This window comes from Homo sapiens, chromosome 15 (genome assembly GCF_000001405.40).
Source record: "Homo sapiens chromosome 15, GRCh38.p14 Primary Assembly".
Lineage (NCBI taxonomy): Eukaryota > Metazoa > Chordata > Mammalia > Primates > Hominidae > Homo > Homo sapiens.
In genome coordinates, this window is record NC_000015.10 from 68,226,483 (window position 1) to 68,239,784 (window position 13,302).

General features: G+C 48.8%; 1 protein-coding gene across 2 annotated transcripts in view, besides 5 other annotated features; it reads right to left on the reverse strand.

Moving 5' to 3' along the window:
* Positions 1-13,302, reverse strand: part of CLN6 (CLN6 transmembrane ER protein) — a 50,220-nt gene that overhangs the window by 19,491 nt on the left and 17,427 nt on the right. Inside the window, exon 1 of one of the 2 annotated variants that reach the window (NM_017882.3) lies at positions 3,020-3,246. The exons of the other annotated variant lie outside the window; for it this stretch is intronic. Within the exon in view, the coding sequence (NP_060352.1) occupies positions 3,020-3,102 (83 nt within the window). The 5' untranslated portion in view covers positions 3,103-3,246. Of the gene's footprint in view, positions 1-3,019; positions 3,247-13,302 lie in introns of those variants that run through there. 2 annotated transcript variants of the gene reach the window in all.
* Positions 2,531-2,600: an enhancer, noted in NCBI's record as "active region_9641". NCBI's record gives its function as "activates an Ori minimal core promoter by ATAC-STARR-seq in GM12878 lymphoblastoid cells {active_cell/tissue: GM12878}" and the evidence as "EXISTENCE:reporter gene assay evidence [ECO:0000049][PMID:35858748]".
* Positions 2,631-2,710: an enhancer, noted in NCBI's record as "active region_9642". NCBI's record gives its function as "activates an Ori minimal core promoter by ATAC-STARR-seq in GM12878 lymphoblastoid cells {active_cell/tissue: GM12878}" and the evidence as "EXISTENCE:reporter gene assay evidence [ECO:0000049][PMID:35858748]".
* Positions 2,751-3,340: a silencer, noted in NCBI's record as "silent region_6585". NCBI's record gives its function as "represses an Ori minimal core promoter by ATAC-STARR-seq in GM12878 lymphoblastoid cells {active_cell/tissue: GM12878}" and the evidence as "EXISTENCE:reporter gene assay evidence [ECO:0000049][PMID:35858748]".
* Positions 3,110-3,289: a silencer, noted in NCBI's record as "fragment chr15:68521930-68522109 (GRCh37/hg19 assembly coordinates)". NCBI's record gives its function as "represses an EF-1alpha promoter that drives an FKBP-Casp9 reporter gene in an ReSE screen in K562 erythroleukemia cells {active_cell/tissue: K562}" and the evidence as "EXISTENCE:reporter gene assay evidence [ECO:0000049][PMID:32094911]".
* Positions 3,941-3,990: an enhancer, noted in NCBI's record as "active region_9643". NCBI's record gives its function as "activates an Ori minimal core promoter by ATAC-STARR-seq in GM12878 lymphoblastoid cells {active_cell/tissue: GM12878}" and the evidence as "EXISTENCE:reporter gene assay evidence [ECO:0000049][PMID:35858748]".

A 13,302-nucleotide genomic window follows, 5' to 3' on the forward strand; every position in this document is an offset into this window, starting at 1 on the left:
TGAGACGGAGTCTCACTCTTGTTGCCCAGGCTGGAGTATAATGGCGCGATCTTGGCCCACCGCAACCTCCGCCTCCTGAGTTCAAGTAATTCTCCTGCCTCAGCCTCCCGAGTAGCTGGGACTACATGCGCATGACACCATGCCTGGCTAATTTTTGTATTTTTAGTAGAGACAGGGTTTCTCCATGTTGGTCAGGCTGGTCTTGAACTCCTGACCTCCTGATCCGCCCATCTCGGCCTCCCAAAGTGCTGGGATTACAGGCATGAGCCACCACACCTGGCCAGTAGATCGTATCTCAAGGGTCGTGGTTTAATTAATACATGCAAAAACTTAAGAGCAGGGCCTGATCCATAAAAAGTGCTAGTGTTTTTTATTGTTATAAACATATTATTTGGAAATAGGAATTTGACTCTGGAAAAAAGAGCTAAAAGAAGCTAGGGTGATTGTCTCTGGTGCTAGGGAAGAGTGGGACAGGGATTACTACTTTTTAAAACTTGAAGCCTTTGCTATTTGATTTATCACGGGCACTAATTATAATACTTTCTTTTCTTTTCTTTTTTTACTTTTTTTTTTTTTTGAGACAGTCTCACTGTCATCCAGGCTGGAGTGCAGTGGCGCCATCTCGGCTCACTACAACCTCCGCCTCCCAGGCTCAAGGGATCCTGGTGCCTCAGCCTCCTGAGTAGCTGGGATTACAGGCATGGGCCATCACACCTGGATAATTTTTGTATTTTTTAGTAGAGACGGGGATTCTCCATGTTGGCCAGGCTGGTCTCGAACTCCTGGACTCAAGTGATCCACCCACCTTGGCCTCCCAAAGTGCTGGGATTACAGGCGTGAGCCATGGCACCCGGCCTAATTGTAACACTTTCATTATAATACAAAAACTGGCAACAAAGCAGGTGGACGTTGGAATGGGTTACCTTAAGAGGTAGTGAGCAAAGCACGGATGCAGCAGAGGAAATCCAAGCATCCTAGGAACTGGACAGGATGATTCTGCCTACTCTCTTGAGCAGCAATGATACTGGGAATGGGCTGAAGCCACATTGTGGGGGGCAGAGACACCCTGGGAGACAGAGAGCTCCCACCCTCACACCACCCCCCTGGGAATACCCTGGCTGGTGGGGAGCTCACACAGGGGAAGAGGGACATGACTCCTTAGCAGCCAAAGTGGAGTCGTAAGAGCAGAGCCCGTAAGTCAGAAACCCTGGGTTTAGGCCCTGGTTCTTGCCAGCAAATGATGTAACCTCTTTGGGCCTCCATTTCCCCATCTGTACATTGGAAGTGACATCTGGCAGCTCATTGTCAAGACTGAGTAAGATGCTAGACATGGGAGCCCCACACAGGAGATAAAGTGGTGACCCTATCTGAGACCCACAGGCTGTTCCCATTGGGCTGTCACAGTTCAGGGCAGTCAGTGACCCCCAACTTGGCAAGGATTCGGAACAGAGACATCCCGCAGGCAGAAGAGGCTGCCTGGAAGAGGGGAGCTGGTAAATGGGTTGGGTCACAGCAGAGATGAAACCACTGGACACGGCGTGGGGCAGACAGCCCGGGGACTCAGCCAGTCAGGCTCCTCAGCCCATCTAAGCCTATTTCCTCATCAGTAAAATAATACTTAACTCACAGGCCGAGGGAGACAGGTGAGCTACAGTATGCGGTCTATGGCCAGTACATTGTTTCTAAGTGAAAACGGACACAGTCCGCAGCTGCTCAGCCCGCATGTCCGCAGCAGCAGAAACGAGCCATCCCTCACCTCAGCCCAAGCGCTCAGACTTCTCCCTTCATCCAGGTCGTACCAAAAACTTCCTAACAAGGACTTTGCGCATGCTAGTGCTCAGAAACTTCTCACGACTCCCCAGTGCCTATGGGATAAAGACTGTGTCCTTAACCTGTCACCTAGGACAGGAACTAGGGTGAGACAAGCAAGGCCTCCAAGGCCCAACATTTGAGGCGGCACTCACGGTCACGGCAGTGCGCCTACCCCTAAGTTTTGCAATCTAGGTCCTCAACTCGAGTCCTAGACTTGCTGCAATTAAAGGCCCTTCACAATCAGTCTGCATCCTCCTGTCACTTTCTTTTACAGCCGGAAAGCTCCAGCACCACTAAACTCCTTGCCCTTCCCCACTGTTTCCCTGGATGGAACAGCCTGTCTTCCCTGGGTCCCCTACCAAGTCCTCTGAGACTCAGCTCAAGTGCCACTTCCTCCATGAAGCCCTCCAAGATGACCGCTCACTCCCACTTGGGCTCTGTCTCTCCTGATCCCTACAGGACCGTAAGCCTCTCCCACCTTCACCCTGCCTACCCCCTTACTGCCTGGCACAGCGCTGGGCATACCACAGGCGCTTAAAGAATGCCTGCTGAATGCAGTGAATGTTTCTGGTCAGTAAAACGGGACGAAGGTAGAATGGAGCTCTGCTCGCCCAACGAGATAAACCAAAAACTGAGAAGGGCTCCTCATTCATTCTCTGGACGGCAGCTTCCGCCCTTCCCCGCTGTCTCTTCCATTACATTCGCACATTCTTGGGTGCCCCAGGTCAAGCAGACAGCCTCCTGATAAATGACAGAATCAAGTCCTACTCAGGGCTGGAGGGACCCCGAGAACGCGGAGGTGGCGCCCGGAACTTGCGGATAAGTTGGGGGTCCGAGTGACGAGGTGTGTGTACCCACCGCCCTGGGGAGCTCTCCCAGCGCAGCGGCTGTCCCGGCGCCAGCCCGGGTCGCTGGAACGCGGGAAGGGAGGAAAACCCCAAACTTCGGGCGGGCGCTCCTCCCACCCGAGCAACGGCGAAGCGGGGAGGCCGAGCCCCGCTGGGCCCCAGGCTCCCCAGACAGAGAAGGAAACGCGGGGGCACCGCCGCCACGGTAGCGCGCCTCCAAGCCCCCCGCGCTCCGCTCCGCCCCGGCCAGCGCCGCACACGAGGTTCCCGCCCGGCAGCCCTAGGAGCGTCACGTGGCGGGTCCCGAGGCCCCAGCGCACAGGCGCCTAGCCCGCCCTCTCACCCCGGCGCGCGCCCACCTGGCCTGCAGGAAGGAGGCGCCCAGCTGCGCGCCTGGGCCGCCCGTCGCTCCCAGGTGCTGCCGCCTCCGCGTCGCCTCCATGGCTGCCCCGCAGGCCCCTCGGCCCTGCCTTTCCGAGGAAGAGACCGGTTCAGCTCGGCTGCCCCGGCGGAGGCCGCCGCAAATTCCCAGCGCGGGGCGGTTCGGGGCGGGCCGGCGAGAGCGCGCGGCCCTCGGGAGGAACAGGCGGGGCTGCGGACCCGGGGCGGGGCGGAGCGGAGCGGAGCGGAGCGGAGGGAGGCGGGGCGGAGGGAGACGGGGCGGGCTCCGCTAGGGGAGGGCCGGGCGCTGCGAGTGTGGCGTCCTCGCGGGGCGGGGGCTGCTGGCCTGTCCGGGCTGCGCGCGTGACCACCAGCGGGCTGGGATGTGTTAGGGTCCCTTGCCTGCCTGGGTACGGGAATCTCTGTCTAGGGTGACTGAGGCCTGGGTGTTGGGCTGGGGCGGGGTAGCGACCTGGAGATAGACTAAGCTGATTTAAATGCTCCCCGGGGCAGAGGGTTCTGTGGGATTTCCCTTGTTCTTACGGGTGGAGGAGAGGAGGCAGGACTGGAGACCTGCACGTGTAGCACCCGCGTGGTGCAGCACGTGGGTTGCAGATGTTCTAGTGAGGGGCTGGCGGTGACAGTGGGAAGGAGCGAGTTGGTGACATCTAGAGTCGTGTGAGAGGTATGGTGACTGGGACTCTGGATGTGGGGGGTGAGGGGAGAAGAGTTCAGGCAGTGGCCGGATTCTGCCCCTGGGTGGATAGTGGAGGCACCCCCCGGGAAGTGGGCTAGAGCAGATTTCGTGTAAATAAAGATTCATCTTTGAACGCATTAAGCTTGAGGTGGGTCAGGAAGGCTGTTGGACCGGTGGTCTGAAGCTGAGGCGAGACCTGGGAACCCAGTGGACAGGCTCGTGAGTCACCGGAGCATACAAGACAGACAGAACCTAAGGGGACAGCATCCTCAAGTGAAAAACAGAACCAAAGGTCAAACCTGAGAACAGCCTGCAGGGCAGATTGCCAGGACTTCATTAGTGGTACCACTTTGAACTAGCTGTGATGCGGGCAAATGGCTCAACCCCTCACAGCTTCAGTTTACTCATCTGTAACAAGAAGATGCCTATTGCATCTACTACATTGGAGTTGTGATGACTATATGAAACTCTTAGCAGAGAGCCCAGCACTGGTGGACTAAGTTATTTACAATAGCCCGTCTCGAGACCTGAGGTTTCCCTCCACAGAAAGGTTACCTTCCACACCACTGTCAATGTCACAAACTCTCTCCTCCCCACGGTCACTGTCAGCAGCCCAGGCCGCTAACTAGAACAACTGCAACCAACTCCCATTCTCCCCACCACCCCCGTGCTACACCAGGCGCACACGACATGTGCAGGTCTCCAGTCCTGTCTCCTCTCACCCAGCCCTCAAGCCGCTGCAGAAGGGATGTGCCTCTTGGAAGGGATGTGCCTCAGATGCAAATGCAATGTGCCATTCCCCTGCCCAGTATCCTTGGTCTGCTTCCCAGACCATGAGGGGTCTGAGCTATGCCTATTTCCATTCTATTTTCTTTCCTGTCTTTCTTCTTGGGAGATGTTTATTGGATTTATTTCTTTCCCCTTTGGTCAGAACCTGCATGTCCTTTCTTGGCTGTGGGAGGCTAGGACTGCCTGCCTGGGAGTCATTTTCCATCAGCCCCATCCTGGGCTCTAGCAGCCCACAGGCCACACCTCAATCCCCCCCCTCCGCCCCTGGTCCCCTGAAGAACACATTTGCTTTAAAGCTTTCCTTGTTTCATTTGATCCACACACACCAGGTCGTAAGGAGAACAGGTGATTGTCTCTGTTTTGTAGCAGAGAAAAACCTAGGCCCTGAGCTGAAGTACTGTGCCCAAGGGTCAGCCAAGGACAGCACTCAGACGGGGCCCCAGATTTAATTCTGGTGAATCTGATCTACACATCGATCTCGGTATACACCAGAGAAGAAGGATTGAGGCTTCCCGCTCTGACCCCAATTTCTTATCCTCTGCAGGCTTTGCAAGCCTGCTGGGCTCCAGAGGGAGGGGCATGCAGTGCCCATGATGTCATCATCGATTTAATAACACTCAGAGGTGGGCTTCCAGCCATCAGAGGATGAGGCCGTGTGGAGGGAGCCTCTCTAGCTCATTTAATCCTCCAATCTCTTAAATACAAACACATCTGCCTTTTTTCTGGAGTCCGCTGCTACCCCTTGAGGGGAGGGGAGTCCAACCTGGCAGGGGGCTGGGCCTTTCTGAATGAACAAGATGAGAATTCTCCCTGTCCGGTGGGATTATCAGCCCCCTCTCTTTCCCATCCCACCAGGACACTTTAAAAACACCATCTTCATTAGCTCTTTAAATTGCATGGAAATTTGGGGGAGGAGGATAGAGTAAAGCTGAGGGGTACACATTTGCAGGATCTTGTTTGTGATTATCTGAGAACATGGGCCCTGCACATCAGAAGGGAGTCTAGTCTCAGCTCTCTGAGCTGCAATTTCAGTGGCCAGCATCAAGAAATCTTTCAGCTGAGAAGGTCCTTTGGTATTATGCATCTTGGTGGTTTTGACTTTTCTTTTAGTAGAGGTTCCCACTACTTTTCAATTATAGCTGTATCCGATATTTTTTTTTTTTTTTGAGACGGAGTCTTGCTCTGTCGCCCAGGCTGGAGTGCAATGGCACGATCTCGGCTTGCTGCAACCTCTGCCTCCCTGGTTCAAGTGATTCTCCTGCCTCACCCTCCCAAGTAGCTGGGACTACAGGCATGCACCACCACGCCTGGCTAATTTTTTATATTTTTAGTAGAGACGGGGTTTCACCATGTTAGCCAGGCTGGTCTTGATCTACTGACCTTGTGATCTGCCCGCCTTAGTCTCTCAAAGTGCTGGGATTGCAGGCGTGAGCCACTGCACCAGGCCTGTATCAGATACTTTTAAATGTATCGCCTAAGATCCGTTAGACACACCAGTCTTCCAGCTCCTTGCCACTTGTTTTGTCCAGCTGCTGTGACAACTGACTTCACCCAGGCAGAAGTCAACTGCACCTCCTCTCCCCTTGGCCCCACACCCTTGGCCTCAGAAGTGCAGGAGTGTTGGACACTCCATGGAGTGAACTTTGACCAGCAAGAGACAGGGATTAGCAAATAAATTTTTCTCTCTTCCTCTTTCTGGACAGACTGGCCTGAGTTCCGAGTTCACACAGCCACTTTAAAGAAGGTCCTGGGCCATGCGCAGTGGCTCACACCTGTAATCCCAGCACGTTGGGAGGCCAAGGTGGGTGGACCACGTGAGGTCAGGAGTTCAAGACCAGCCTGACCAACATGGTGAAACCCTGTCTCTACTAAAAATACAAAAACGAACTGGGTGTCGTGGCATGTGCCTGTAATCCCAGCTACTTGGGAGGCTGAGGCAGGAGAAATTGCATGAACCCAGGAGGCAGAGGTTGCAGTGAGCCGAGATCACGCCACTGCACTCTAGTCTGGGCGACAGAGCAAGGCTCAGTCTCAAAATAAATAAATAAATAATAAAGAAGGTCCTGTAAGGTCTAGCATCCTTCCAGACGGAGTGGTGGCCAGCTCCGCAGTGCACTCTCTTGTGTGCCCTCCCTTCTCCTCTGTCTCACTCCCCCTTGTCCTCACTTCCCCTTCCCAGCCACCACACTCCCCAATACAGTGTTAGCATACATGCTGCCCTGCTCTGCTTCTTTGGAAACCTGGGCTAAGACAAAGATCTTTCCAGCATGCTCAATGTATGAAACACCTACGGGGGGGTGGGGGGGGTGGTGCCCTGAGTGAAGAGAAGCAGGGTCCCAGGTGCCATCTCTTCTCCCCTTATGGTTACAAGGCCGTGGCCAAGTCACCTCCAAAGGGCTCCCTGGAAAGCCTTTGATCTTGCCTAATTTCATCATTCTGCAGCTGCGGAAAATGAAGCCTAAAGCCACACAGCGAGTTAGAAGCCAAGCCAGGCCAGAATCCAGTCTCCACTCCTAATCCAGTACCCTTTCTATCCAGTCTCTTAAGAGCTTTTGAAAATTTCTCTTTCTTCAAAACATCTTCCCACACTGCCCTGCCACCAGAAGGCTTTGAAGGCCCCTGCTAGACTGCAGCTACCATCTGAGAGACATGACACACAGAATCCTGGATCCAGAGGCTGGGACTCCAGAAGGCAGACAGACGAAGTGGGACCAGGAAAACTCAGTTACTTTGGAGAGAGGCAGCCAGGAGGGGCCTGACTAGGGGATCTCTAAGTGTGGGCAACAAGACTGTGCACAGTGAGAAGGCTGCACAAGGACAGACAGCAAGGGACTGGGGCACTGGGGGAAGATGGAGACTGTCTTTCTGTGTCAACTGGTATTGCCTGCAGGACACTCCCCATCTGGCTGAAGAAGCTGGGAGGGTGACCAGAAGTCACACTGTGGGGAGAGAGAAGGTCCCCAGGTTGTGTTTAATTCAGATTCTTGTGGTTGTGATTACTAGAAGCAACGGGGGACAGGTTGATGACAAAAGGGGATTTCTATTACAAGGATTTAGGGGTGTCTTAGGGAACCTAAGCATAAGGATGCAGTTGGGCCTCAGGAACTGAGAATGGTGCTGGGACTTTGGGAGCCCAGGAAGGCACCACCCACAACACTGTTTCCATGTCATCCTTCTCTCTTTCTCCCTGCAGACTGGCTTTCCTGGCTTTCCAGGAAATACAGCAGCCGACGGCCTCAGTCAGCAGCTCCCAAGTTTATCTTTCTTCCATCCAAGAGATAAGCAGAATGTGGGTGGCCTCTTCTGGGCCCAATTCAAAATTCCCGCGGAGGGATTCTGATTGGATGGCTTGAGCCAGTGCCCACCCTGAGCCAGGCAGTGTACCGATATGGCTGCTCCTTCTCTAACCAGACAGCCAAGGGAAGGAGAAGTGTATAGTTCACGGCCCTGAGTTTGCAACTTGAACAAAAGCCCTAATATAGGGCTCTATTTCCACCCATTAATGGAAGAGATCACTGCCTTTTACATGTGGCTATAAATTCAGACCCTGCCTAGAAGCCTGCTGTCCCCATGACAGCCCAGAGCTGAATTGCTCTCTGCTAGCCCGTTCCCCTCCCGTCTGCTGCTGAGAGCTAGGAGAAGCTGAGAGGCTCCCAGAGCCCTCCACTCTTTTCCTTATCATTTCTTTTTCCTTATAATTTCTTTCACTCTTAACAGTTGACAAAGGCCGGGCGCGGTGGCTCACGCATGTAATCCCAGCACTTTGGGAGGCCAAGGTGAGCAGATCATTTGAGGTCGGGAGTTTGAGACCAGCCTGGCCAACATAGTGAAACTCCGTCTCTACTAAAAATACAACAATTAGCTGGGCATGGTGGCAGGTGCCTGTAATCCCAGCTACTCGGGAGGCTGAGGCAGGAGAATTGCTTGAACCCGGGAGACGGAAGTTGCAGTGAGCCAAGATTGTGCCACTGCACACCAGCCTGGGTGACAGAGTGAGATTCTGTCTAAAACAAAACAAAAAAAGAATAAAACAAAACAAACAAAACCAATAGACATTTATTGTACAATTCCTGTGTGCTAAACCCTGATCTCAGTGCTTAATGTGTATTATCTCATTTAATCCTCACAGTAGCCCTAAGGGATAGCGCTAACCTTGGCTCCTGCTTATAGATGAGTTAACTCAGGTACAAAGAAGCTGAGTCATCTACCCCAAACCACACAGCCTGTCCATGGTGTAGTCACAGGTGGACCTGGGCAGCCTGCCTCTGGGACCTGCATTCTCCAAAAACCACCACACAACTGCCTGAACGGAGAGGCCATGGAGGCTGGAGGGAGGTCTTTCCACAGCCACGGTGAGCCACGAGTAATATCTGCTTTGAAATTGTTTCAGAATTGTCAACCTGAGCTCTGTATAGTCAAATTGTGGAATTTAATGACTTATTAGAGTGCTACAGGAGACCCACAGCAGGAGAATCACTTGAACCCAGGAGGCAAAGATTGCATTGAGCCGAGATCGTGCCACTGCACTCCAGCCTGGGTGACAGAGCGAGTCTGTGTCTAAAAAAAAAATAAAAATAAATATATATATATATATATATATATATATATATATATATATATATATCGATTAATCGATGGAATACATAGGGCACAGGGCTTCTGTTTTCCTAACCAGACACTGACTGACAGAGGCTAACATAGCTCTGTATTTGTCAACACCCTGGCACCCAGAAGAAGCAAATGTACATGCTATTTGGGGTTTACTCTCCTGCTTAGGTCCTTGGAACCCAATTATTCATTCAACAATGATTTGTTAAGCACCTGTTAGATTTCAGTCATGGTTCTAGATGATGGGAATATAGCAATGAATGAAACAAAAGTCCTTCCTTGCATTTCTCCAGGAATGTATTAAACACAGAAGAAAACAAGCCACCATGAATGAGAACAGATGACAAAAAATAACACATTTAGAGCCCTAAGCTTTTTGGTTATTGAAATGATTGAATAGCAGATTTAAAATAACTAGGTAGGAAATGTTTAAATAAATAAAACATGGTATCACAGGAAAAAGCAAGGGATGAAAAAGACAAACAATAACACATGTTGGTGAAGATGTGGACAAATTGGAACTTTCATATATTCCTGGTGGGATTATAAAATGGCACAGCCCCTTTGGAAAATAGTCCAGCAGGTCCTCAAACTGTTAAATACAGAGTTAGTACATGACCCAGCAACTCTGCTTTTAGGTATAGGACCAAGAGCTCTGAAAAAAAAGTCCACAGAAAAACTTACAGATGAATGTTCATAGGAGCATTATTCATAATAGCCAACAAGTGAGAACAACTCCAAAATCCATCAACTTGTAAATAAATAAATTATGGTATACAAATTCAGTGGACTATTATACAGCTATAAGAAGGCACTAAGTACTGATGTAACATGGTTCAACCTTGGAAACATTATGCTAAGTGAAAAATGCAAGTCATAAAAGGCCATATGCTGTATTAGGCCATTTATATGAAATGTCCAGAATAGGCAAATCTACAGAGACAGAAAGTAGACATAATGGGGATAGAAGGAAGTTGATAGTGATGGCTAATGGATACAGGATTCCTCTTTGGGTTGGTATAAATGTTCTGGCATTAAGTAGTGGTAATGACTTCACAACTTCTGTGAATATACTAAAAACCACTGAATTATATACTTCAAAAGGGTGAATTTTATGACAAGTGAATTTTATCTCAATAAAGCTATTATTTAAGAAAATAAGGCAAAGACCTTTGCAATTGATCAGACATATCTGAAAAATAAGCAAATAGAAATTTTAGAGCTTAACAATTTGTTGACATTAAAACTGAATGGAGGCGGCCGGGCGCGGTGGCTCACGCCTGTAATCCCAGCACTTTGGGAGGCCGAGGCGGGTGGATCATGAGGTCAGGAGATCGAGACCATCCTGGCTAACAAGGTGAAACCCCGTCTCTACTAAAAATACAAAAAATTAGCCGGGCGCGGTGGCGGGCGCCTGTAGTCCCAGCTACTCGGGAGGCTGAGGCAGGAGAATGGCGTGAACCCGGGAAGCGGAGCTTGCAGTGAGCCGAGATTGCGCCACTGCAGTCCGCAATCCGGCCTGGGCGACAGAGCGAGACTCCGTCTCAAAAAAAAAAAAAAAAAAAAAAAAAACTGAATGGAGGCCAGGCACAATGGCTCATACCTGTAATCCTAGCACTTTGGGAGGCAGGGTGGGAGGATCACTTGAGGCTAGGAGTTCAAGACCAGCCTGGGCAACATAGCGAGACCCCTATCTCTACAAAAAAAAAAAAATTAAAAAATTAGCCACTGTTGTGGCATGCTCCGGTAGTTCCAGCTACTGAGGAAGCTGAAGCTGGAGGGATCCCTTGAGCCCAAAAGGTCGGGGCTGCAGTGAGCCATGACTGTGCCACCAAACCCCAGCTTGGGCAACAGAGACCCCATCTCTAAAAACAAAATGAAACAAAACAAAACAACAATAACAAAAACTCAGTGGACAGGCTAAACTATAGATTAAATAAAGCTGAGTAGTGAATTGGTAAACCAAAAGACAGATTGACAAAATTACCTAAAATGCAGCACAGGTTGCTAAGGAGATGACAAACATGAAGGAAGAGTTAAGAGAAGAAAGGGTAGAATGAGAAAGTCTAAAAAATATCCAATCAGAATCCCAGAAGGAGAGAGTAGAGAGAATAAGAGAGAAGCAATATTTGAAAAGCTAACTACTGGATAAGAATTTCCAGATCTAATAAAAGACATGAGCCCACAGATAAAAGAAAGACAGCACATATCAAGAAGTGCCTCACAGCCTGGTGTGGTGGCGCACGCCTGTAATCCCAGCACTTTGGGCGGCCGAGGCGGGGGGATCACAAGGTCAGGAGTTCGAGACCAGCCTGGCCAATATGGTGAAACCCCGTCTCTACTAAAAATACAAAAATTAGCTGAGCGTGGTGGTGGGTGCCTGTAGTCCCAGGTACTCGGGAGGCTGAGGCAGGAGAATTACTTGAACCCAGGAGGCAGAGGTTGCAGTGAGCCAAGATTGTGCCACTGCACTCCAGCCTGGATGACAGAATGAGACTCTGTCTCAAAAAAAAAGAAGTGGGTCACGCCTGTAATCCCAGCACTTTGGGAGGCCAAGGCAAGCAGATCACGAGGTCAGGAGATTGAGACCATCCTGGGCAACATGGTGAAACCCTATCTCCACTAAAAATACAAAAATTAGCTGGGTGTGGTGGCACGTGCCTGTAATCCCAGCTACTCGGGAGGCTGAGGCAGGAGAGTCACTTGAATCAGGGAGTCAGAGGTTGCAGTGAGTCCAGATCGCGCCACTGCACTCCAGCTGGCGACAGAGTGAGACTCTGTCTCAAAAAAAAAAAGAAAAAGAAAGAAACCCACATCTGGACATGGTGTAGAGAAACCACAAAGCTCCAAAAGCAAAGATCTTAAAAGTAGCCAGAGAGAAAAGAAACCTTGTTTACAAAGAAACAAAAACTATATGGTGGCAGCAACAGTGAATTTAGAAGACAGAAAAATATCTTCAAAGTGTTAAGAGAAAGTTAACCCAGAATTGTGTGCCAGCAAAACTGTCTTTCAAAAATGCATGTAAAATAGAAACATGAAGGTGAAATAGGAACATTTCAGAATAAAACCGAGAGATTTTACCACTAACAGGCCTTAACTAAAACAATTTCTGGAAGATATACTTTAGGAGGAAGGAAAATGATCGCAGAAGAAGGGAAACATTTCTAAAAATATATAACTTATCATTGCAATGCAAGAAAGAATGATGAGCAAATCAATTATTAAGTATGTAAATAATTCCAAAAATTGTCTGCAAAAACTTATAATGAAAGGTGATGATGGTGTATAATTTGTGGGGTTAAAAAAGGACAGAAACAAATACTGGACAATAATATTTATAGATGGGGGAAGAAGGCCCGAGGTTGGTGGGGAGAGTTAGACTATTCTAAGTTCTTTGTATTCTTCTTAGAGAAGGTTCAAGTATTTGTTCACTTTAGATGTTGTTAAATGTGCATGGTAAAATTTCAAGGGTAATCACTAAAAACAGAAAATGTGTAACTTCCATACCAGTAAAAAGTAAAATAGAATAAGAAAACAAAAACCCAATGCAGAAGAAAAAGGAAAAAAATAAGTTTAAAAAAGGAAAACAAATGGAAAGCCAAAAAAGGGTATGGTAAAAATCTAAATATATCAGTAATCACAATAAGTATAAATGGACTAAACAATAAACTAAAAGACACATTCTTAGACCTAAATTAAAAAAAAAATAGACATACCTAAAATAAAAGGACACAGAAAAGATGAAAGTAAAATGATGAAAAAAGATATAACAGGCAATACTGTTAGGTTGGTGAAAAAGAAACTGTGGTTTTTGCTATTACTTTTGTGCCAACCTGAAGTTAAAAGAAAGTTGGTGTAACTATATTGTCATTTGACAAAATAGACTATAAGAGATAAATAAGGACTTTATACAATGATAAAAGGTTTTATTTATCAGGAAGATGTAATAGTTCTAAAGTTGTGGGTACCTACTAAAATAGCATCCAAATATATAAAATAAAAATTTATAGAATTATGAAATGAAATTGACTAATCCACAGACATAGTGGGGTATTTCAATACAATGCTCCCAATTATTGATGAGTCAAGAAAGATTTGAATAACACAATTCACTAGCTTAATTTAGTGAATTTAGTGAATAAATTACCTTGCATTCAACAATCAAGG